The 25,311-nt window shown below is 44.5% G+C and overlaps 2 pseudogenes, besides 3 other annotated features; both read left to right on the top strand.

Annotated features, from left to right (window-relative positions):
• Nucleotides 1,910-2,099: an enhancer, noted in NCBI's record as "active region_14196". NCBI's record gives its function as "activates an Ori minimal core promoter by ATAC-STARR-seq in GM12878 lymphoblastoid cells {active_cell/tissue: GM12878}" and the evidence as "EXISTENCE:reporter gene assay evidence [ECO:0000049][PMID:35858748]".
• Nucleotides 2,130-2,179: an enhancer, noted in NCBI's record as "active region_14195". NCBI's record gives its function as "activates an Ori minimal core promoter by ATAC-STARR-seq in GM12878 lymphoblastoid cells {active_cell/tissue: GM12878}" and the evidence as "EXISTENCE:reporter gene assay evidence [ECO:0000049][PMID:35858748]".
• Nucleotides 2,310-2,579: an enhancer, noted in NCBI's record as "active region_14194". NCBI's record gives its function as "activates an Ori minimal core promoter by ATAC-STARR-seq in GM12878 lymphoblastoid cells {active_cell/tissue: GM12878}" and the evidence as "EXISTENCE:reporter gene assay evidence [ECO:0000049][PMID:35858748]".
• On the top strand, nucleotides 5,192-24,414 carry LOC124900424 (cytochrome P450 4F2-like; annotated as a pseudogene).
• On the top strand, nucleotides 5,198-6,769 carry CYP4F9P (cytochrome P450 family 4 subfamily F member 9, pseudogene; annotated as a pseudogene).
• Nucleotides 24,415-25,311: the final 897 nt, after the last annotated feature.

Raw genomic sequence — 25,311 nt, 5'->3', positions numbered from 1 at the left:
CTACTGAATAGGGAATCCTTTTTCCATTGTTAGTTTTTTTGTGTGTCAGATTTGTCAAAGATCAGATGGTTGTAGGTGTGCAGCCTTATTTCTGGGCTCTCTATTCTGTTCCATTGGTCTATGTGTCTGTTTTTGTACCAGTACCATGCTGTTTTGGCTACTGTAGCCCTGTAGTACAGTTTGAAGTCAGGTAACATGATGTCTCTAGCTTTACCTTTTTTGCTTAGGACTGCCTTAGCTATTCAAGCTCACTTTTGGTTCTATAGGAATTTTAAAACTGTTTTTTTTCTAGTTCTGTAAATAATCTCACTGGTAGTTTAATAGGAATAGCATTGAATCTATAAATTGCTTTGGGCAGTGTTAAGGCAGAAATTAAAGAAAAATAAACACTGCATTTATTCACTCCAGAAGAAATAAGGGTTATTTGAAAAACACAAGTTTTCCTCTGCTGCAGGCAAGGCTATAGACAGGTCATGGCGACCTGGCCTGCAGAAATGAGCTGCAGACACTCCTGAGAAAGGTTAAAAGAACAACAAATTCCTTCAATGTCTCTCCTGTACTGAACTATTAGTTATGACTATGTTTGCCAATGCTTGTATTTAGTAAGATTTGCAAAGTTCCTGTTTTAATTTTTTTCTGATGCGCTGCATATACAAGGCCACAAGTTATGCCAAGTTAGCAGTTACACTATAGATTATGTGGCTTGTCACTGTAAAATTTATTGTCTTTGTTTTGCTCTTGTATGCTAGCCTATATAAGTTAACTTTTGTTTTTGTCCAACGCTCAGCTTTTTGGATGTGAATCCACTGAACTGGTGCATACCTTAAAATAAATATCCTCCTGTTCTCCCATATCGGTCTCTGTTCCTCAGTTTCCCACAACATTTCTGAAGAGCCAGCCAGGAGTGGAGACAACAGGCTTACTGTCTCCTTTGCCTGTGGGGGCTGGAGGAGCCCTGGGCCAGGGGAGACCTGTGACCCCAGGCACTGCCCAGAGAACTTCAGCCCGGAGGGGAGATCGGGTCTCTCATGACCTGGTGCCCCTACCCAGCAGCACAGTGGAACCTGAGGGGCTATGGGATGATTCCAGGAGCAGCGTGCTTCCTTCAGGACTGCAGTAAGGTTTTGGGGCCCAAGGCAGGACCCACCCCATAAGGATGGAAGGGGAGCCTGATCACCTCCTGGGATGTGACTATTAATCCAACCCAGAAGGGCTGGGGGTGGTGAGAATGGCTCGCCAATTCAGATGAAACTTACACCCCAACTGACATAGGATGCAAGAGTGGCTCACTAAGTTGGTTAGGAAAAGGAAACTGGAGGTAGTGAGAGTGGCTCACCACCCCAATTAAGAACATGGGAACTGGGAGTGGGGAAGTGTGTGAAAGTGTGTGAATGGAGGGGCCTAATTAGGTTCATCAGTTGCAAAGTGGGGAGTCACAGATCTCTTAGCCTGGACTGTGTGTTCTGAGCAAAGTGTGGGGCCGACTAAGACTAGCGGTGATCTGCATATGGCTAATAGGAGCTGCCCTACGACTGCAGCAGTTGTAGCAGGAATAAGGAACTCTCCGAAGCCAAGCAGCATCTGAAAACTCCTGTAATAGGAGATGGTATATTCAGCCGAAACAAGAGGAAGAGTGAGTGTGCAAGAGTGAGTGTGCTGCGCTGTAAAGGGAGGAATGGGAGGAAAGTCATCAAAACTTACTCCATTGGAATGCATGTTACAGAACTTTAAGAAAGATTTTGCAGGGGATTATGGAATTAAGTTAACCCCCCAGAGGTTGAGAACTCTCTGAGAATTAGAATGGCCTTCTTTTGGTGTTAGATGGCCGACTGAAGGAACTATAGACAAGGAAATAATTGGTCGTGTATTTAGGGTGGTGACAGGGGTCGGAGGACAGCCAGGGCATCCAGACCAATTTCCTTGTATTGATTCATGGTTAAATATAGCACAGACAAGACCAGCCTGGATCCAGCCCCGTTTAGCACCTTATTGCAAAACACTTGTAGCCTGAGCCAACCCAAAAGTGAAAGTAAGAGCAGCTTCACTGGCAGACACAGAGTTAAAGGGAAAGTCCCAGAGAGAGCAAGAGAGGCCAGTTTTGCAGGGGCCACCAGAGGGAACAGAGATTCTTCCTCCATATGTCCCAGCCTACCTCGCTTTACAGGGGCTGATAGCTCCAGCTCCCCAGGAGCCAGACTCAAAAGACAGCATGCCCCAAGTCTCACCCTGAAGGGAAGGATCGGAGCCTCGGGGGGCCAGGGAAGGAAGTCAAGATAGTCAAGCAGACCAACTCAAATCTGGCCATGCTCGAGCTATGCAAATGCCTCTCAGGGAGACGCGAGGACCCATTTATTATAATGACCAAGTCCAAGTCCGGCGGGGGGCAATGAACTTGCATCTACCAGCCCTTTTCAACCACTGATCTCTTAAACTGGAAACACCATACCCCCCCTACACAGAGAAGCCCCAAGCTCTCATAGATCTGATGCAATCCATCTTTCTGACACACAATCCAACCTGGCCAGACTGTAGGCAGCTTCTTCTCACGCTGTTTAACACTGAGGAGCACAGAAGAGTAACACAGGGAGCTCTCCACTGACTAGAAGCCCCTGCACCAGCAGATGCAGTGAACGCTCAGGCATATGCTCAGGGCCAGCTCCCAGACCAAGATCCCAACTGGGACCCAGAGGATGCAACTCAGCTTCAGCGTTTGCAGAGGTACCAAGAGGCACTTCTGCAAGGGCTAAGGGAGGGTGGAAAGAAAGCAATTAATACAGGGAAGATTTCAGAAGTGCTTCAGGGAGCTGATGAGAGCCCAAGTCAGTTTTATGAGAGACTCTGTGAGGCATACCAACTTTTCACCCTGTTTGACCCTGAGGCCACTGAAAATCAGCGTATGGTGAATACATCATTTGTAGGACAGGCCCATGGTAACATCAAATGAAAGCTTCATCAGTTAGAAGGTTTTGCAGGCGTGAACGCCACCCAGCTTATAGAAGTAGCCACCAAAGTGTATGTTAACTATGACCAGGAGGAAAACAAGGAAGCAGATTGAAGGCTTAAAAAAAAGGCAGATCTGTTGGCAGCAGGCCTTATAGAAAAAGAGATTAGCAATGTGAGAGGACACGGACGTGGACGTGGACATGGAAGAGGTTAAGTTAGACAAAGATTTGAAAGCCGACCAAATTTGAAAGCTAGAGAGGGATCAATATGAGAGATGCAAAAAGAAAGGACACTAAAAGGATGAATGTCCAGAAGGCAATGAAAGAAATGGCCAAGGCCGTGAGACAAAGAGGCCATCGGCCAAGGGCTGCGGTGCCTTAGAGGAACCAGATACTGACCTGATTGGGCTGACAGGAGCTGAAGGATGTGAGGATTAGGACAGACCAGGCTCCTTCTCATTAGGCCTCCAGGGGCCTGTGGTCACATTAAAAGTTGGAGGCCAATTGATGAACTTTATTGTAGATGCTGAGGCTGAACACTCTGTAGTAACTTGACCCATAGGGCCACTATCCAAGAACTATACAACTATTGCAGGAGCTGCTGGAGTCTCAGAGAAGAGGCCATTTAGTCAGTCAAGGAGGTGTGTTATAGGAAGACGAGAAGTCTAGCATGAATTCCTATACCTCCCAACTTGTCCAGTTCCCTTGTTAAGAAGAGACCTACTTCAAAAACTGCAGGCACAGATTACTTTTAGGCTTCAAAAAGATATGACTTTCAATCTGACTCACCCAAAAGCCATAGTGTTAACCCTTACCATTCCACAGGCTGAGGAATGGAGACTTCATAGAAAGAAACTGCAGGCGCCAGTGCAGCTTCATACACGGAAAGAAGAAAAATTATTATTTGGACTAGTTAATAAAATTCCTAAGGTATAGGCTGAAGATAACCCACCTAGGCTGGCTGTAAATCATCCACCAGTAGTAGTTAAACTGAAACCAGGAGCAACTCTGGTTCGAGTTCGTCAGTACCCGGTCCCCTGAGAGGCTATTTGAGGCATTTGTAAGCATTTAGACTGGCTCTATAAACACAGGATCTTAGTCCGATGCCAGTCTCCCCGGAATACTCCACTTTTGCCAGCATGAAAGCCGACACCAGGACCAGGGTCTAATGTGTATAGACCAGTGCAAGACTTGCGGGCTAGAAACAGGGCCACAGTGGCTATCCACCTAGTAGTACCAAACCTATATACTTTAATGGGACTTATTCCAGCAAGTTGCCACTTGGTTTACGGTCTTAGACTTAAAAGATGCCTTCTTCTGTATCTGACTGGCACCAGTTAGTCAGCCCATTTTTGCATTTCAATAGGACAAGGAAGCTACACAGCTCACCTGGACTAAGCTCCCACAAGGGTTCAAAAACTCTCTTACAATCTTTGAGGAAGCACTGGCCTCAAACCTCAAGGCCTATACCCTGCCAAATGATAACTGTGCCTTGTTTCAGTACGTGGACGACCTTCTTTTGGCAGCCCCAACCCGAGAGGATTATTACCAAGGAACCCAGGACCTCCTCCATCTTTTATGGAAAACAAGTTACAAAGTATCTAAAAAGAAAGCCCAAATTTGCCATGAAAAAGTTAAATATCTAAGTTTCATAGTAAGCCACAGAGAACACCAGCTTGGCTATAAACAGAAGCAGGCCATTTGTGCACTCCCAACCCCAACCACCCGGTGTCAAATACGATAATTTTTAGAGGCAGCAGGATTTTGCCATATTTGGATTCCAAATTTTTCATTAATGGCTAAACCATTATATGAAGCCACAAAGATAGGAGAAAAACAGCCCCTCCTTTCGAAGACTAATCAAGAAATAGCATTTGAACAGATCAAGGAAGCTTTAACTTGGGCCCCAGCTTTAGGACTACCAGACATAACTAAGCCTTTCTTTCTATATGTTCATGAACAAAAAGAAATGGCTATAGGAGTTCTGACTCAAGTTATAGGGTCATAACATTGCCCAGTGGCATACTTATCCAAAGAACTGGACTCCATGCATGGTGCTAGGATGGCCTCCTTTTCTTTTCTTTTTTTTTTTTTTTTGAGACGGAGTCTTGCTGTGTTGCCCAGGCTGGAGTGCAGTAGCGTGATCTCGGCTCACTGCAACCTCCGCCTCCTGGGTTCAAGAGATTCTTGTGTCTCAGCATCCCGAGTAGCTGGGATTACAGGCCCCTGCCTTGCTTGCAGGTCCCCACATGAAGGAGGGCATGAGAGTTCTGACTCAGCTGGTGGCCACTTACCCCCAGGGCTTTAAGATCTGGATGAACCCCATTACTCCCATCATCAGGTTGTGCCACCCCAACATCATCTGGTCTGTCATCAATGCCTCAGGTACCATCTGAAACACCTGGTGGTGAATGCCGTGGTGCATCTGAGGCCTGCAAGCCCCTCCTCCCCCAAGCTTCTGTGTGGCCGCTGCAGTATCCAGGCCCTTCCTTCTTGCTTCACCCTCAGCCATCTTCTCTTTCCTTCATGTATTCACCAACCCCCATCTCAGCGTCTCCTCCCACTACTGCCATCCCCCCACCACCCCGGCGTTCTGTGCACTACTGGAGCCCCATGAGGCCTCAACCCAAGGCTCTGTCCTGGAAGGATCTCCCAAGCTTGAGGAGATGGATCTGGGCAGAGACATCCCCAAAGTCATGGGGTCAGGAGTGGTCCAGAAGGAGATGGGCTGGGAGAGCCCAGAGGAGAACCTGGTCTCTCCTGGGGCAGGCTGGAAGGCTTCCTGGAAGAGAAGTTGCTGGAGCTGGGTTTCTAACAATGAGTAGGAATGTTTTAAAGTGGGGGATGAAGCGATGCAATGGGCAACATTAGAATTCAAGACCTCCTGCCAGGCCTGGCATCACCTTGCATGTCCCCAAGCCCAGAACAATGAGGAGGACATGCAGTTGGTGGAGGATCTGGACTGCTATTTTCATGACATTCACCTCTGTGGGTCGGTTCCTTCTACCCCATCCTGTGGTTCTTCCACTATATGCTCATTGCCCTCCTGCTCCAGGCCCTAGGAATCTCCAGTAGGAGACGCCACCCGAGCCTGGAGCCCTACCCTTGCCCAAACGTGAGGCGCATCCCAAACATGGCCCAGACGTCACCAGCAGAAGAAAAAGACTATCTCAAACAGAATCGCAGACAAACCCCACATACCCCAAATACTCTTGGCCACAGCTGAGCCCTAGACATAACCATCTCCATATGATCCCAGGGATGTGCCTCATGTCTGGAACCCAGGGTCTGTGTGTAAACATTCTGAGACATTGTTTGAGTATTGTTTGAGACAGGCTTCAGGGTATATTTGAGTCATGACTATGGAACATTTGGGACCAGACATGGGCTATTTCTGGGATATTAAAGGGACCATATTTAAATCTGAATCCTAACTGGGGCCTGCCTATAGGGCATGCTAAGGTCATTTCAGAGTGTCTAAGATCCTTGTTAGAGCACAGCATAGCATGCTAGGGCTTGTTGTGTATTTTGTGACCATGTCAGGACATGTTAACACATATCGGGGCCATGTCACATGTTTCTACTATGCTGCGCTTTGAGGGAGTAAGTGTGGTCTCTGGCTTGGAGCCTCACCCCACACCCAAAGTCCCTCCCTCACCCTTTCCATGGTTTCTGATGGTCCTCATTCATGTCAGCCACCATTGCACCAAAAGACGAGGCCTTCTACAAGTTCCTGAAGCCCTGGCTGGGTGAGTACCTGTAGGTGAACAAGGGTGGGAAAAACCTTGGGGGATGGGTAAGAAGAGGGAGATACCCTTGCCCATGGCCCTTGACTGCCTCTACTAGGGGATGGGCTCCTGGTAAATGCCAGTGACAAGTGGAGCTGCCACCGTCAGATGCTGATGCCCGCCTTCCATTTCAACATGCTGAAGCCCTATATGAAGTTTTTCACTGACAGTGTGAATATCATGCACGTGAATTCTTTGAACCCAGAGTTCCAGCTGAAGCCTTGGGGTGGAGGCACCACAGACAGATCTGGTCTGGAATTTTGGCTCTGCTGGGTGGCATTCAGCATTGCTTTTCCTCTCTGAGCTTTGGTTTCCTCAGCTGTAAAATGGGTATAATAATCCCTACTTAAAAGATGGTCAAGGTGATGTAATGGAGTCATATCCCTGGTGCATAGTAGGTGCCCAGAAAGTGTCTGTTTCTATATTTCCTCTTGTAAACTCAAGAGGGTCATGATGACAATTGTATAGTAGCTGTTGCTGAGTAAGAAACAACTTGAGAACTCATTGGTTTAAAACAATAAGGTTTTATGATTGCTAACAAGTCTATGAGACAGGTGGCTGGTATATTAGTCTGTTCTCATGCTGCTGATAAAGACATACCTGAGACTGAGTACTTTAAAAAGGAAAGAGGTTTAATTGACTCACAGTTCCACATGGATGGGGAGGCCTCACTATCATGGTGGAAGGTGAATGAGAAGCAAAGTCATGTCTTACATGGTGGCAGGCAAGAGAGTGTATGCAGGGGAACTCCCCCTTTATAAAACCATCAGATCTTGAGAGGCTTATTCACTATCATGAGAACATCATGGGAAATACTCACCCCCATGATTCAATTATCTTCCACTTGGTCCCTTCCATGACACTTGGGAATTATGGGAGCTACAAATGAATATGAGATTTGGGTGGGGACACAGCCAAACCACATCTTCTATCCCTGCCCCCTCCTAAATCTCATGTCCTCACACTTCAACACCAATCACACCTTCCAAACAGTCCCTCAAAGTCTTAATTCATCTCAGCATTAACTCAAAAGTCCACAGTGTAAAGTTTCATCTGAGATGAGGCAATTCCTTTCCTCCTATGAGCCTGTAGAATCAAAAACAAGTTAGTTACTTCCTAGATACAATGGGGGTACAGACATTTGGTAAATACACCATTCCAAATGGGAGAACTTGTCCAAAACAAAAGGGCTACTAGCCCCATGTAAGTCCAAAATGCAGTAGGGGAGTCATTAAACCTTAAAGTTCCAAAATGAACTCCTTCGACTCCATGTCTCACATTCAGTTCATGCTGATACAAGAGGTGGGCTCCCATGACCTTGGGCAGCTCCACTCCTGTGGCTTTGCAGGGTACAAGCCCCCTTCTAGCTGCTTTCACAAGCTGGTGTTGAGTGTCAGTTGCTTTTCCAGGTGCACAGTGCAAGCTGTCAGTGGATCTACCATTTTGGGATATTGAGTGGCCCTCTTCTCACAGCTCCACTAGGCAGTGCCCCAATAGGGACTACGTGTGGGGGCTTGCACCCCACGTTTCCCTTCCATATAGCCCTACCAGAGGTTCTCCATGAGGGCCTCACGCTTGCAGCAAACTTCTGCCTGAATATCAGGCATTTCCGTACATCCTCTGAAATCTAGGCCGAGGTTCCTAAACCTCAATTCTTGACTTCTGTGCACCCACAGGCTCAACGCCACGTGGAAGCTGCCAAAGCTTGGGACTTGCATCCGCTGAAGTCATGTACCTTGGCCACTTGCCATGGCTGGAGCAGCTGGGATGCAGGACACCAAGTCCTTAGGTTGCACACAGCAAAGGGGCCCTGGGCCTGGCCCAAGTAACCATTTTTTCCTCCTAGGACTCTGGGCCTGTGATGGGAGGGGCTGCCACTAAGGTCTCTGACATGCCCTGGAGTAATTTTCCCCATTGTCTTGGTGATTAACATTTGGCTCCTTGTTACTTCTGTGAATTTCTGCAGCAGGCTCGAATTTCTCCCCAGAAAATGGGTTTTTCTTTTCTATTGCATCATCAGGCTGAAAATTTTTCAAACTTTTTTTCTCTGCTTCCTCTTGAATGCTTTGATGCTTAGAAATTTCTTCTGCCAGATACCCTAAATCATCTTTCTCAAGTTCAAAGTTTCACAGATCTCTAGGGCAGAAGCAAAGTGCTGTCAATCTCTTTGCTAAAGCATAGCAAGAATCACCTTTATTCCAGTTCTCAACAACTTCCTCACCTCCATCTGAGACCACCTTAGCCTGGACTTCATTGTCCATATCACTATCAGCATTTTGGTCAAAGCCATTCAACAAGTCTCTAGGAAGTTCCAAACTTTTCCACATTTTCCTGTCTTCTGAGCCCTCCAAACTGTTCCAACCTCTGCCTGTTACCCAGTTTCAAAGTCACTTCCACATTTTTGGGTATGTTAACAGCAGCACCTCACTCTACCAATTTACTATATTAGTCCATTCTCATGCTGCTAATAAAGACATATCCAAGACTAGGTAATTTATAAAAGAAAGAGGTTCAATTGACTCACAGTTCTGCAGGGCTGGAAAGGCCTCAGGAAACTTACAATCATGGTGGAAGGGGAAGCAAACACGTCCTTCTTCACATGGCAGCAGCAAGAGGAAGGGCTGAGCAAAAGGGGGAAAAGCCCTTTATAAAACCATCAGATCTTGTAAGAACTCCCTCACTACCATGAGAACACCATGAAGGTAATCACCACCAGGATTAAATTGCCTCCCACCAGGTGTCTCCCAAGACAAATAGGGATTATGGGAACTATAATTCAAGTTTGGGTGGGGACACAGCCAAACCATATCAGTGGGTTCTTCTGGATGTGCAAGAGATATTCATGGCACATGAGAAGCTGTGGGTCAGGTAGGCAGCCTTGCTGGTCTTGGCTCAGTTCTCTCAAACGTTTGGGTTTTGTCTGGTTTCAAATTGACACAGATGTCCTCAGCTGGGACTCCTGGACTTTCCTCCAGGGATTCTATCCCTCCAGAAGGCACCCCATGGTTCACATGGCAGAGAGGGTTCCAGGGAGTGAGACGAGGCAGGTTAGATTCATTAGTTATTACCTCATCAATTTCACATTGTGTTTTGTCAGAGAAAGCCAAAAGTCCAACAGAGAATCAAAAAGTGGTGGGTAGTAAAAAATGCTCGGTCTCTTAATGGAAGTCACTGAAAAAATCACATTTCAAAGGGTATGGATATGGGGGGCAAATGAAGAATTTGGGCAAGGGCTTCGTGACATCTCTAGAATTTTTTTAAAAATTGCAAATTGATAAGTTATCTTGTTATGGTTTCATGGATTCTGCCAGAAGACAGAGATTTGTGGGTAAGAGACAAAGCATGATTTATTACTCATAGCACAGCAAGGAGCATGTGTTTCTTGTTGGTTTGCTTTTTTCTCCAAGCCACCCAAATCCCATGGGGCAACACAGGTGGGCTTCTACTGATGCTTGCTGACATAGTATATTGCATTACAGGGATGGAGCAGTAGGCTTAGGAGATCTGCTTTTATAGCAAGCCTGATAAGTGTCAAAAGGGAGTCATTACCTCATCCCTCAAGGCTGTTCTCTGCAAACACAACTCTCAGAAATGGCTCCAGTTAAGAATATCAGTGTCTTACATTCTTGGCATACCCAGAAAGGATACTCAGGGCACATGGAGGACTACCTCTCCCAACATAGGGATAGTGTAATAAATTCTTGTAATCAATTTATAACAATGCAGGTGAGGAAATCCAACATTTGTTGAGTATGCCCCCTATTGGCCAGAAACAATGCCATGTTCCCACTCATTGATAACAAGTATATATTGACTAATTTACTTTTAACAACTCTGTGAATGAGAGATTATTTCTGCCTCAGTGTAGATGATGAAACAGTGGGTCTAAGAGATTAGGGAGCTTGCCCAAGTTTACCTAGCTAATAATCGAGGTTGGAATAGTGGAGCAGGATTTCTAACCTTGTTTATGTGGCACCAAGGTACATCATCTCAACTGTTCCTGAAGATTTGACAGGGGAAGGGAGGTTAATGCATTGACCAAGGGCATGCAAGGGTGGAACATGAATCCAAGTTCTCCTGAACCCCCGTCTTGGGTCTTTGTCTCTTAATAGTAACAGTTGTTGTTCCCAGCACAACCTGGTCCTCCTTGGGGAGGGGTTCCTGGGGAGAAGACAAAGAGGTTGGCTTTGGGGAAGTCCATCTTGATGGTTGGGCTTGGGGAAGGACTCAAAGGAGCTAGGGACCAGCCCCAGCTGTGTCCCCTTCTCTGGCTAGGCCAAGTGGCAGCTCCTGGCCTCAGGGGGCAGTGCCCATCTGGACATGTTTGAGCACACCAGCCTCATGACCTTGGACAGTGTGCAGAAATGTGTCTTCAGCTTTGACAGCCATTGTCAGGAGTGAGTCTTTGCCCAGGGACTGAGAACTTGAGCCATGAATCCAAAGAAGTAGGTTGGGGTCCGGCAACCAGAAGTGCCTACCTCATCGGGACAACCAGAAGTGCCTGGAGGAGTTATGTCATAGTCTAAATGACTGGTATAAATGTTATCATGAGGTTTCTAGGGAGCCCTTGAAGGGGTTTGAGCTGATGGGCATGGTCAGAGCTGAGCTCTGTGGGGGAATAACTGTAATGTAGATGTTGCATGGAGTTGACATTGGATGCAAGGATACTAGGGTGGGGCATGGACTTCGGACCAGCTGGAAGAGCAGGAATTCTGAGCTTTGTGGATAGTTTCAGGAAGGAGAAGGGACAGAACTCTATAATGGGGGCAGGGGAGAGCGAATAAGAGCATGATGTTCAAGTTGTGGTCTGAGTGCCCAGGGGCATGGAGGAAGCTCCTAGAGATGGAAATCAGGGAGATAAGAGAGTTTGGAGAGTGAATCTCATGGGTGATCCTCACTCTGTAACTGTGGGGGCATCTGTTTTTGGATACTGTGCTTCCTATAGGAGGTAGCTCCTGGATGCTGGTGGGAGATGCTCCTGTGGCTTCAGGTGTGTTAAGTTGTTGCCTCCCTTTCTGCCCTTATCCTGCAGAAAGCCCAGTCAATATATTGCCACCATCTTGGAGCTCAGTTCCCTGGTGGCAGGGCAGGGCAGAAGCAAAGTGCTGTCAATCTCTTTGCTAAAGCATAGCAAGAATCACCTTTATTCCAGTTCTCAACAACTTCCTTACCTTCATCTGTGCATGGACTTTCTGTATTATCTCATCCCCAGCGGATGGCGCTTCCGCAGGGCCTGCTGCCTGGTTCATGACTTCACAGAAGCTATCATCCAGGAGCAGCGCCACACCCTTACTAGCCAGGGTGTTGATTATTTCCACGAAGTAAAGGCCAAGTCCAAGACTTTGGACTTCACTGATGTACTCCTGCTGAGCAAGGTGGGGTTCTCTGGGATCTGAATGCAAAAAGTAGAAGGGAGCTTCATGTCAAATGTCAGATCAAAGAACTTGGATGTGATCCAGAGGGCACTGGGGAGCATTGGAAATTGCTTGAGCAGGGGAGGGACAGGTCAGAGATAGTTTTTAGAGATGACTGAGTGAGACACAAATAGCAGGGGACCTCTAGGTGTGAAACTGACAAGTCTGATATTTTACTCTATTTACAAATTAATAAGCCAGTGTGTCACATTTTTATCTATACATCTACATCTATATCTATGTCTATGTCCTGTATATGTCATTGTCTATGTCTGAGTCTGTGTCTGAGTATGACTATGTGTCTGTATGACTATGTCTTTGTCTTTGCCCATGTCTGCATCTTTGCCTTTTTGTGTGTTTATGTCTATATCTTTATGTGTGTTTATGTCTATATCTTTGCCTGTGTCTTTTTTATGTCTATGTCTATGTCTTTGTGTCTTTTCTATGTCTTTGTCTTGGTCTGTATTGTGTCTTTTTCTATGTCTTTGTCTTGGTCTGTATTTGTCTATGTCTTTGTGTCTTTTCTGTGTCTATGCTTTTGTTTACATCTCTGTCTATGTTTATAGCTTTGTTCATGCAAATATCTATGTGTATATCTGTGTCTATCTCTATCTTTTTGCCTTTTTCTGTGTCTGAGTCTTTGTCTATGTCTATGTGTATTTGTGTGCCTGTGTCTGTTTCTATATCTGTGTCTTTCTCTTTGTCTATGTCTGTCTATGACTATGTCTATGTTGATGTCTTTGTTTACATCTGTGTATTCGTCATTGTCTGTCTATGTCTTTCTCTATGCCTATGTCTTTTTTATGTCTATGTCTATGTTATTCTCTATGTCTGCCTTTGTCTATTTCTATGTCTACATATTTCTCTATGCCGATGTCTTTGTCAGTATCTATATCCATGCCTATGTCTTTGTCTATATCTATATCCATGCCCTTGTCTTTGTCTATGTGTCTGTGTCTATGCCTATGCCTTTCTATGTATATGTCTATTGTGACAGATGCATTAAACACCTGGATCAGAGCAGCCCATTTATTGCTCACAGCAATACTAGCAGCCAGAGTAGGATTGTGGCACTGGCTCTCCATTCCCAAATCAAATTCCTCCAAGGAGAATGCAATGTTTTTACCTTTATGTGCAACGGAGTTTGCACCCTAGGAGAGGTGCCCTACATTATGAGTCTTGGCATATCTTCTATTTCTTTGCTCTAGTGAGAGAGAAAGAGAGAGGGAGAGAGAAAGAGACAGACAGGTGGGGGATGCAGGGAGGAGAAAGTATTTTGTTCTGGAGCATAAACAAATCCTCTTTAGTGAGATGCCATAGTCTGTAGACTTACAACCCAAATATCTCCAGGGGACATAAGATAAGAGTCTATGGATTTGGCACTCTAGAATGTGAGCAAATATTTTTGGAGCAATACTTAATCTCTAACTTGCAAAGCAAATTGCCAATTATCCTGTAACCCAGGTTGCCAGGAACTTTTTCTCAGAAAGTTCTCATCATGCAGAAATATGAAAATATTCATAGGTCATTGAGTCCTCCCACTAGGGACAAAAGAAGAGACAAGGAGGCCAGGGAGGAAGCCTGTGAGTTGGGGGCTCTCGTGATGGTGATCAAGAGACATCTAGGCATGCAGGGTGGGCTTGGGATTCTGGAAGGAGGGGTCTTCAGAGATTGTCTGACTTTAAACTGAGGATCCCTCAGAGCTAGTGTGATCTGTATGTGTGTGTGTGTGTGTGTGTGTGTGTCTTGCCTTCTCACCAGGATGAAGATTGGAAGGAGTTGTCTGATGAGGAAATAAGAGCAGAAGCTGACACCTTCATGTTTGAGGATGAGTGTCCCAGTGTGGGACTACAGTAGGGACAGAGGCCTCTCCATCCCAGGGATGTGGGAGATGAACCCTGCATCACTCCATTCAGCCCATCCTCCCCCCAACCCCACCATCCTCCTGAGAACCTAGATGCATGGACGCTGTCCACCCTCTGGTACTGAAGCAGCCCAGAGACTCAAGCCTGTCTTGCTGCCCCTCAGGTCATAACACCACGGCCAGTGGCCTCTCCTGGGTCCTATACTACCTTGCAAGGCACCCAGAATACCAGGAGCACTGCTGGCAGGAGGTGCAAAAGCTTCTGAAGGATCACGAGCCTAAAGAGATTGAATGATGAGTGCAGGTTCTTCTGGCCAGTTCCTGAGGCCCTCTCATTGGCTCTGCTCCCCAAGTGGGAAGTGGGGAAGTTGTTTTGTCAATTCTGCCACTTTTGCTTACTGGGAATAGAAGCAGAGGACCACAGGCAGGGCCAGCCTGGCTAACAGGGGAAAGATTGCAGGCTGCTAGGACAGAAAGACCTGGGCTACTATTCCTTAAAGAACTAAAAGTATAACTACCACTTGATCCAGCAATCCCTCTACTGGGTATCTACCCCCCAGAAAGAAGTCATATATGAAAAAGACACATGTACATACATGTTTTTAGCAGCGCAATTTGTATTTGCAAAAATATGAAACCAACCTAAGTGCCCATCAACCAATGAGTGGATATAGAAAATGTGGTATATGTACACCATGGAGTACCACTCAGCCATCAAACAGAATGAAATACAGCTTTGCAGCAACTTGGCTGGAGCTGGAGGCCATTATTCTAAGTGAAGCAACTCAGGGATGGAAAACCACATATCATATGTTCTCACTTATAAGTGGGAGCTAAGCTATGGGTATGTAAAGGCATACAGAGTGGTTTAATGGGCACTGGAGACTCAGAAGAGGGAAGGTGGGAGGGGGTGAGGGACAAAAAACTACATATTGGGTTCAATTTATGCTACTGACCGGCATAAGGATGATATAATGGACTTAGGGGATTCAATGACAAGGATGAGAGGGGGTTAGGGAGAAATGATTACATATTAGGTACAGTGTATGCTGCTTGGGTAATGAGTGCACTAAAACCTCAGAAATCACCACTAAAGAACTTATCCATGTACCACCTGTACCCCCCAAACTATTGAAATAAATAGAAATAGAGATGCAGCTGGGCGCGGTGGCTCACGCCTGTAATCCCAGCACTTTGGGAGCCTGAGGCAGGTGGGTCATGAGGTTGGGAGTTCAAGACCAGCCTGGCCAAGATAGTGAAATCCCATCTCTACTGAAACTACAAAAAATTTAGCCGGGCGTGGTGGCAGGTGCCTGTAATCCCAGCTACTCAGGAGGCTGAGGCGGGAGAATCGCTCGAACCCAGGGGGTGGAGGTTGCAGTGAGCCGAGATCACGTCACTGCACTCCAGCCTGGGCGACAGAGTGAGACTCCGTCTCAAAATAAATAAATAAATAAATAAAATAAAATAAGAGAGAGAGAGAGAGAGAGAGAGAGAGAGAGAGAGATGCAACATGTAGATAACAAGTATATTAGATATAGATTAAAATATAAAAGGAGAGAAATAAATATTTGAAGGAATAAGGGAAAGAAAATTAAAAAGGAAAGACTGGACTGCTGAGAGAATTAGTGACAATAAGTGAGAGGAGATGAGGCCACTCAGCACACGTTCTGCAAATGAATGCCACACCCTTCCTTTTCTCCAGGAAATATTTTTTCGAACATTTTCACTTCCTTAATGGTTGCTCTTCTGTTCTCTAATTCCCATACTTATGTCCAGTCCAGGGATTCATGATGGAGACCTCAGAGTAAAAATCATTCATTTATTGTCCAGAACACCTGGATTGTTCATCCACCCGGTCCTCATTCAGCAAACATTCCCACACTGTATTCCCACCCCCAGTTCTTTTCACATTACCTGTCTGTGCTCTGGAGATTTTGGGAAGGACACAACCCAGGGACCTATTTTCCAGGTGCTTCCCGCCCACATGGGAGCAGTCCCTGGTCAGGACACTCCCAGCCCATATGGGCAGGGATGGGTTTTACAGTAAGAGAAGCATGACTCGGGGGTATAGAAAGTGTCTCAGTTGAGACCCTGAATGATGGTCAGTAGATATTTGGGTGCAGTTGGGGAACAGTGGCTCTAGCTCAGTAAGATCTCCTGGGTTGAGAGAAAGGAGCAGAGAGAAGGCGAAGGAGAGAGAGAGGGAGAGATTCGGTCATAATGAGATGATGAAACTGGAGATGGCAGCAGGGGCTGGCTATGGAAGCCTTGGGGAAAATGTTAATGACTTTGGCTTTTACCCAAGGGCAATGGGGAGCCAAGGGATGCGTTTGAGGAGGGGAGGGAAAGGTCAGATCTGGTACCAGGAAGATCTTTCTAGGGCTACTGTGGAGGGTGTACTGGAGAGGACCAGCAAACTATCAAACTATAGTCACCCCACTGATCCATTGAGTACTGTTTTGTTTTTTGTTTTTTTTTGAGACGGAGTTTTACTCTTGTTGCCCAGACTGACGTCCATTGGCGCGATCTCAGCTCACTGCAACTTCTGCTTCCCAGGTTCAAGTGATTCTCATGCCTCAACCTCCTGAGTAGCTGGGACTACAGGCATGTGCCACCACCATGCCCGGCTAATTTTTGTATTTTTAGTAGAGACAGGGTTTCACTATGTTGGTCAGGCTGGTCTCGAACTCCTGACCTCAGGTGATCTGCCTACCTAAGCCTCTCAAAGTGCTACGATTACAGGCGTGAGCCACCTTGCCCAGCTTGAACAGTTTTTATTTCATCTATCAAACCATACATTTGCACCTATTAATCAACTTCTCCTTATCCCCCCTTTCCCTCTACCAATCTACTTTCTATTTTCATAAGATCCATTTTTTTCATCTCCTGCATATGAGTGACACCATGCAATATTTGTCTTTCTGTGCTTGGCTTATTTTTCTTACCACAATGACCTTCAGTTCCATCCATGTTGCTGCAAAGAACAAAATTTCAGCCTTTTTATGGCTGAATAGTATTCCATTGTGTAGATATGCCACATTTTCTTTACCCATTCATTCACTGATGGGCACTTAGCTTGATTCCATATTTTGGCTATTGTGAATGGTGTTGCAATTAACATGGGAGTGCAGGCACCTTTTCAATATATTGATTTTCTTTCTTTTGGATATATAGGCAGTAGTGAAATTTCTGGGTTATATGGTAGTTCTAGTTTTAGTTTTTTTGAGGAACCTCCATGCTGTTCTCTGCAGTGGCTGTACTAATTTATATTCCCACCAACAGTGTGTGAGAGTTCCCCTTTCTCCATATCCTCACCACCATCTATTATTGCCTGTCTTTTTGACAAAAGACATTTTAACTGGGTTAGATGATATCTCCTTGTGGTTTTAATTTGCATGTCTTATGACGATTAGTGACATGGAGCATTTTTTCCATCTACCTGTTGGCCATTTGTATGTCATCTTTTGAGAAATGTCTACTCAGATCTTTTGTCCGTTTTTAAATTATATGATTTGTTGTTGTTTTTTTTCTTTACTATTGAGTTGTTTGAACTCCTTATATATTCTAGTTATTAATCTCTTGCTAGATGGATAGTTTGGAAATAATTTCTGCCATTCTATAGCTTGTTCCTTCACTTTGTTAATTGTTTCCTTTGCTGTACAGAAGCTTTTTAGCTTGATATAATCCCATTTGTCTATTTTTGCTTTTTTTTTGCCTGTATTTTTGAGATGTTACACAGAAAATCTTTGCCCAGATCAATATTCTGGAGTATCAAACCAAGATTTCAAGCAAAATTATGCACATGGTTAAAAAAAGTGTCCAAAAGAGTTTATGATAAAAATGAACTTCCTTATTAAGCTCCACCCGAGCGTTGACTGTGGTCAATAGTTTTCTGTGCATTCTTCTAGAAAATGGCTATCCTGATGCCCACATTTATATAAACACACACTCCCCTTTTCTGTATAAATATATAAAATACACACAGGTCTGCGCATTAACAATATATCTCTGAGGCCAGGCATGGTGGCTCCTGCTTGTAATCTCAGCGCTTTGGGAGGCTGAGGTGGGCAGATCATTTTAGGCCAGGAGTTCGAGACCAGCCTGGCCAACACAGTGAAACCGTGTCTCTACTAAAAATAGAAAAAATTAGCCAGGCATGTTGGCACATGCCTGTAGTCCCAGCTCTTCAGGAAGTTGAGGCGTGAGAATTGCTTGAACTCGGGAGGTGGAGATTTCAGTGAGTTGAGATGATGCCACTGCACTCCAGCCTGGGTGACAGAATGAGACTCTGTCTCAAAAAAAAAAAAAAGAAAAAAAAACAACATATATATATATATACACACACATATATATATGTATATATATGTGTGTATATATATGTATATATACATATATATGTGTATATATATACATGTATATACATATATACATATATACACGTACATGTATATATGTGTATATACATATATATGTATATATATGTGAGATTTAAAAAAATTTTCTCAATTAACAAGTTTTGGGAAATGAGTTTGTTTTTTACTTTTAATTGAGAAATTTTATTTATATATACTTATAGAGTGTGATATTATGATATATATATACAATCTATGGTAATTAAATCAAGGTGCTGAACTCACCCACCACCCCATTTACTTATCATATTTGTGGTAAGAACATTTGAAATTTTTTTTAAAGCATTTTTAGGTAATACAATACGTTGTTAACTAAAGTCACCATGCTGTGTCCAATAGATCTGAACTTATTCCTCTTTAACTGAAACTTGTACCCTTTAACCAACATCTCACCATTTCCTCTCCCTTCCCCTCAGCCCTGGCCTCCAGTAACCACTGTTCTACTCTCTGCTTCTATGAGCTTGACTATTTTAGATCAAGTTTTACTTATTTCAGATAAGTAAGATCATGCGTGTTTGTCTTTCTGTGCCTGTCTTACTTCACTTAGCATAAGGTCCTCCAGGTTCTTCTATGTTGTGGCAAATGATATATATTTTTTTGTGTTTTTAAGGCTGAATGATATTTCATTGTGTATATATACCACATGGAAAAAGAGCATTAATTTACAAAAACAATGATGAGAACAAGTTCTTCTTGCACCAAATGAGATATTACAGATAAGACAAGGGTTATCCTTGACAATCCTTCTACCCCACTTAATTCCCTCCCTTTCTCCAAATGGGTCTCTAGAGCCATAGAATTGTCTGTTTATCTCTCTCTCTCCTCTGTTTCCTCTATCAATCATCATCATCTACAATGTATCTTCTATCTATGAATTATCTATGTCATCAATATTCATATACATCTATATACTTTTTCCCTTTTGCATATACGTATCTATACATTTTATAACTGGTTTTTGTCACTCAACAGTGTGTCTTACAGCTTTTTTTTTCTATTTCACATTTTATTCAACTCATTCCTATATTGGACACTTATGTAAAGGTTTCCATAGGCAGTTGGCATGTGTTTACAGTGACCTTTGCTTACAAGTGTAGACACCTCTGCAGGACAAATTCTGTGAAGTGGAATTGAAGAATCAAAGACCATTTGCACTGTACAACTTCAATTATGATAGAAAGTCCATTTCTATTAGCTGATTTGATGGTACAGGCTTTCCAGTAACTTTACCAAAAGTAGTGTTGTACTATTGAATTTTAAATCTTTGTCAATCTTTATATTTCTACTTTTAATGAACATTTTCCTAATTAAGGGTGAGATTGAACATCTCTTGCACATGTTGATAAGTTATTTGTTTTCTTTTTATGGAAGTGGTTTTCTTATTTTTTGCTGGTTTTTTTTGGATTCTTTAAAAATATTTACTTTTACAAATGTGTATTAAAATTAATCTTGTTTTCTCTGTTTTGTTACAAACTATTGCCTTTTAACTTTTGGAGGATACTTTTGATGAATTTCTATGAAGTTAAATTCCTCCACTTTTTTTCTTCTACAGCCAGAAAATCCATCCATTTCTCCAAGAGTTTTAGGGGACTCCCTTTACCAGATGTGACATTTTAGCTTATTCATGTGTCTGTCTCTGAGTTCTCCATTCTGTTTCATGAGTCTATTTTCTTATTTTTGCAATGATGCCACACTATTTGTATTCGTGTGACTTTGCAGTCGTTTTTTTAACATTATTTTTTCTTTTTTGGAGACAGGGTCTCTCTTTGCCGCCCAGGCTAGAGTGCAGTGGTGAGCAATCACAGCTCACTGTAGCCTCGAATACCTGGGCTTAAGCAGTCCATCTCAGCCTCCTGACTAGCTCGGACTATAGGCCTGCACCACCACATCTGGCTAATTTTTTAAAAATTATTTTGTCAAGTTGGGATCTCACTTTGCTTCCCAAGCTTGTATTGAACTCCTGGTCTCAAGTGATCCTCCTGCCTTGACCTCCCCAAATGCTGTGATTACAGGCATGAGCTACCATGCCCAGCCTGTAATAGTTTGTAATACTGGGTGGAATGACTTCCCTCTCTTTAAATTTTATTTTCAGATTGACTTAGTTCTTCGTGATCTTTTATTTTTCAGAAAAAAATTAGAGTATGTTTATCAACTTCCTCAAAAAATCAGATAGATTTTTAAAGTTGATTTGAATATATTTTATTGGTTGACTTGGATATATGATTGATATGTGGAAAATGGGTTACTTCACATAGCAGTGATACATTCTACCCTAGTGTGTGGATTGGATATCCATCTAGTCTCCCTGTAACGAACTCCACATGGAACAAATGTCTGGGGATTAGAAAACCACAAAAAAAAAATTGAAAGGTTCCAAAGAAAATTTAACCAGGTAGTTTAAAAAGACATATTTTAAAAAATCAAAATGCCAACTGTAAGAAAAAAGAAAATGAATTTGCATAAAAATAAGTATTCTTTGTGGCAAGAGAGCAAACGCATAATCCAAATGAATAAGAAACAAAATATACATTCAATGTTTTGCTTGTATTCATCATTGCACTAGAGATACTAGCAAATGCAATTAGACAAGGAAAAAAGAGTATGTAATTTGAAATGTGGGGGTAAATGTATCATTTTGGCAGACAGTGATTCTGATTCTGTACTTAAAAGAAACAAGAGAATCCATCAGAAAACTTTTACAAACACTGATGACCCAGTAAGGGAGCTGAATTCTTTTTCTTGACATTTCTTCCTTTTGTGTGGCTGTTTAAATTTTTAATACCAATGCACTTAACTGGTTCAAAATCTATAAAGTTTACTCACCCCAATGGCCAAAACCACCCAAATTCCACACGCACACAGATTGTCTAAGTTATTATATTTTTATGTATTTTTCCAGAGCTACTTTTAGCATCTTTAAAAAATTCCACAGTAACATACTATACGCTGCATGGACTGCTTTGTATCTTTTCTCTCTCTCTCTCTCTTTTTTTTTTGAGACAGAATCTTACTCTGTTGCCCAGGCTGAAGTGCAGTGGCATGGGCTTGGCTCACTGCAACCTCCACCTCCCAGGTTCAAGCAATTCTCCTGCCTCGGCCTCCCAAGCAGCTGGGACTATAGGTGCAGGCCACCACACCTGGCTAATTTTTGCATTTTTAGTAGAGATGGGGTTTCACCATATTGGCCAGCCTGGCCTCAAACTCCTGACCTTGTGATCCACCTGCTTTGGCCTCCCAAAGTGCTGGGATTACAGGCTTGAGCCACTACGCCTGGCCCTTTTCTCGTTTAAGTACATATTGCTCTCTTCTTGTATATCTCCTGGGACCTGTGTGAAAATAAGGTTTTCTTAATCTGGAAGTATAAAATAATATTCCCATGGTTTCTTCTATAGCTTTTAAGATTCTTTAAAAAAATTTTTTTTAAATACTTGATTCATCTGGACATTATCTTGTTATAAGACATGAGAACCAGGTTAAGTTTACTCTTTTTCCATGCTGTTCCCCAGTCATCCCAAGGGCTTTTATTAAATGATCAATAATTTTGCTATTGATATGAGACACCATTTTTAGCATGTACTGTGTTCATTGGGCACACAATTTATATGTATTCATTAGTCTTTCTTGGTAGAAATAACAACCAGCTGGAAAACAGCATGAAAGAAAAGATGCCAATAATAATAATAATAATAATAATAATAATAATAATAATATAAAATACCTGGATTAAATTTAACAAGAAACACAAAATCTCTATATTCCAAATGAATTCATAAATTTCCCTGAACCCAAATAAAAGGTGACACATTTTTCCATAGCAACAAAAGTATCTAGGAGTGGATTTAACAAAATATGCCTAAGATATCTAAGCAAATTTTAAACTCTATTAAAAGACTCAGAATCACTGTTCCAAAATGATACATTTACCCCACATTTCAAATTACATATTCTCTTTTTCCCTTGTCTAATTGCATTTGCTAGTATCTCTAGTGCAGTGATGAATATGAGCAAAACATTGAAAGTATATTTTGTTTCTTATTCATTTGGATTATGAGTTTGCTCTCTTGTCACAAAGAATACTTATTTTTATGCAAATTCATTTTTTTTATTTTACAGTTGGCATTTTGATTTTTTAAAAAATATGTCTTTTTAAACTACCTGGTTAAATTTTCTTTGGAATCTTTCTATTTTTTTTTTCTGGTTTTCTAATCCTCAAACATTTGTTCCATGTGGAGTTCGTTACAGGGAGAAAAGGTCTCACTTGCAAACAGAGAACTGGAGAGTTGTGTCTTTGCTACCTTGATAATGATTGGGGCTGGGTGTTTCTTTAGGGATGACCTGGCCCAGCTGCCCTTCCTGACCATGTACATTAAGGACAGCCTGTGGCTGCATCCCCCAGTCCCTGTCATCTCCCGATGCTGCACCCAGGACATTGTGCTCCCAGGCGGCTGAGTCATCCCCAAAGGTGCCCACAGCCTCATGGGGAGGTGCCTCCTGGGTAGGAAGAGGGGCCTCTCAGGCAGGGGGACCTTGTCCTGACTGCCCCCTTCTCTCCTACAGGCATTGTCTGTCTCTTCAGTAATTTTGAGACTCACCACAACCCAACTGTGTGGCTGGACCCTGAGGTGCTGCCTCCCCAATACCCCCCTTTTTAAGGTCCATTTTAGGGGTCCTAGAGGAGGGGGCAGGGTTTTGACCAAGAGAATCCAACATCACCTCCCTCCAAGACACACACAACTGTCTGTCTCTCCAAGGCTGGCATACCTGGGAGACCCCACCCAGCAACCCTTCTTGGTCTCACCTCCAGGTCTATGACCCCTTCCGCTTTGACCCAGAGAATAGCAAAGAGAGATCACCTCTGGCTTTTATTCCCTTCTCAGCAGGGTCCAGACAAGGGTGGCCTGTGTCTGAGGCAGGGATGGGGTGATGGGTGTGGGGCTTGAAAACTGAGGATGTTGCAGATGGTCCCAGTTCCAGATTTCCTTTCCTTTCCTCCTCTGGAGTTTATGGGCAAAGGTCCATAGAACAGGTTTGGGTAGTTCCAAGAATAGTCTGTGATATGCTCAGAGCCCCCACCCCCTCTGCTGGTCTCAGCTGGGGCTGGAGTCTGGGCCAGGCTCCGGGGATATGCAAGCCCATATGGGGGTCCCAGGCACAGTTAGCTCCCTTCTCTGCCCCTCCCTGGCTGGCTTTTGGAATCCTTAGTTCCCTTCCTTGCAAATGTCCCACTGCTCTGTCTGCCCCTCCTGGTTGGTGTTCTCTGTGACCCACTTCCCCTGCCTTCAGGGAACCCCCTCCCTTTCTATTCTGGGTCCCCTGATGCTACCCAGGCAGCCTGGCCAACAGATGCTTCCTGAGACCACCCTCTCGCTCCCCAACTGTGTGCCAGGCGCTCTCCCAAGAGTGTCACGGGGAGGGCGAATCCCCACCCTTTCACCTACAGGTTCCTCCTCCATTCCCAGCACAGCCCACCTTGGCCTATCTTGGGGTGGGGTCGGGGTCAGGGCCATCCCTTTTGACCCTTGAGATTCAAAGCCAGACCGCTGGATGCAAACACCACCCCAAAGGCATGGGATCTGGATCAGATTGCTTAGGCTCAAGCCTCAGCTCTGCTGTGTGACTTGGGCAAGTTAATTCCCCTCTCTGAGCTTTATTTTCCCAACCATATAATGGTGACAACACTACCTACCTCAGGGTTGTCCAGAGGACTAAGTGTAAAAACTCAGAGTTGTGTGGGCCTGATTCAGGGTCTGGGGCCAGGGATGGGGCCGGGATGCGGGTCCTGGGTGCAGTCAGAGTCCCTTCCCCCGCACCAGGAACTGCATTGGGCAGGCGTTTGCAATGGCTGAGATGAAGGTGGTCCTGGCGCTCACGCTGCTGTGCTTCCGTGTCTGTCCAGACCACATGGAGCCCCGCAGGAAGCCGGAGGTCATAATGTATGCAGAGGGCGGACTTTGGCTGTGGGTGAAGCCCCTGAGCGCAGACCCACAGTGACCCATAGCCGCTTGGCCTTGGACCCCACCCAAGCCACCCACCCACACCTTTGCAGAATCCCATGAATAAAACTGTGCTGTCCTCTTTGCCTGAGTCTCACCCAGAGCCATCACGGGGTGCTTGGGGACTGTGAGGATTCAGAGGTGGGCTGGGTCAGTGGGAGGCAGGGGATCAGGGCAGGGGGGCATCTCTGAGAGCAACACCCTGACTGCCTCCCTGGCTGAACACGAGACCTACACTCTGGTAGCAGGTTCTCTTGGAGGCCAACTATGGAGTTTATCCAGTGGGCAATAGGGAGCTATGGGAGGTATTTGAGCAGGAGAGGGACCAGGGTTATAAAGGCATTTAAGGAGAAAGACTGAGGCTCTGAGTAAGGAAGAAGAACCTGTAGAGGTAGATCCATTCATCTGGGCTGCTGGTGCCCCCAAGACAGAGGCCCTTGGCCAGCCCAGAGCACAGGGAAAGAGGGGTGCATCTTCCGCCCTGGCTGGCGCTTCAGAATTTTTAGTTCCTTTCCTTGCCAATGTCCCCCTGCTATGTCTGCCCTTCTAGTTGCTTTCCTCTGTAGCCCCCATTGCCTACCTTCAGGGAGCCCCCTCCCTTTCTCTTCTGGGCTCCCTGATGCTGCCCAGGCAGCCTGGTCAACAGGTGCTACCACAACCCCCTCCCACCATTCCCTCCTCCACTGTGTGCCCGGCACTCTCATGAGTGTCAGTGGGAGGACGGGCCCCACCCTTTCATCTCTAGGTTTCTCCTCCATTCCCAGCACAGGTCTCCCTGGCCCATCTTGGGGTGGGATTGGAGTCAGAGCCATCCCTTTTGACCCTTGAGATTCAAAGCCAAACCATTGGAAGCAGACATCACCCAAAGGCACGGGATCTGGAACTGGACTGCTTG

Source organism: Homo sapiens, chromosome 19 (assembly GCF_000001405.40).
Source record: "Homo sapiens chromosome 19, GRCh38.p14 Primary Assembly".
Taxonomy (NCBI): Eukaryota; Metazoa; Chordata; class Mammalia; order Primates; family Hominidae; genus Homo; species Homo sapiens.
Note: the sequence above shows the minus strand (reverse complement) of the source record. Positions and strands in the feature narration are given on the sequence as shown.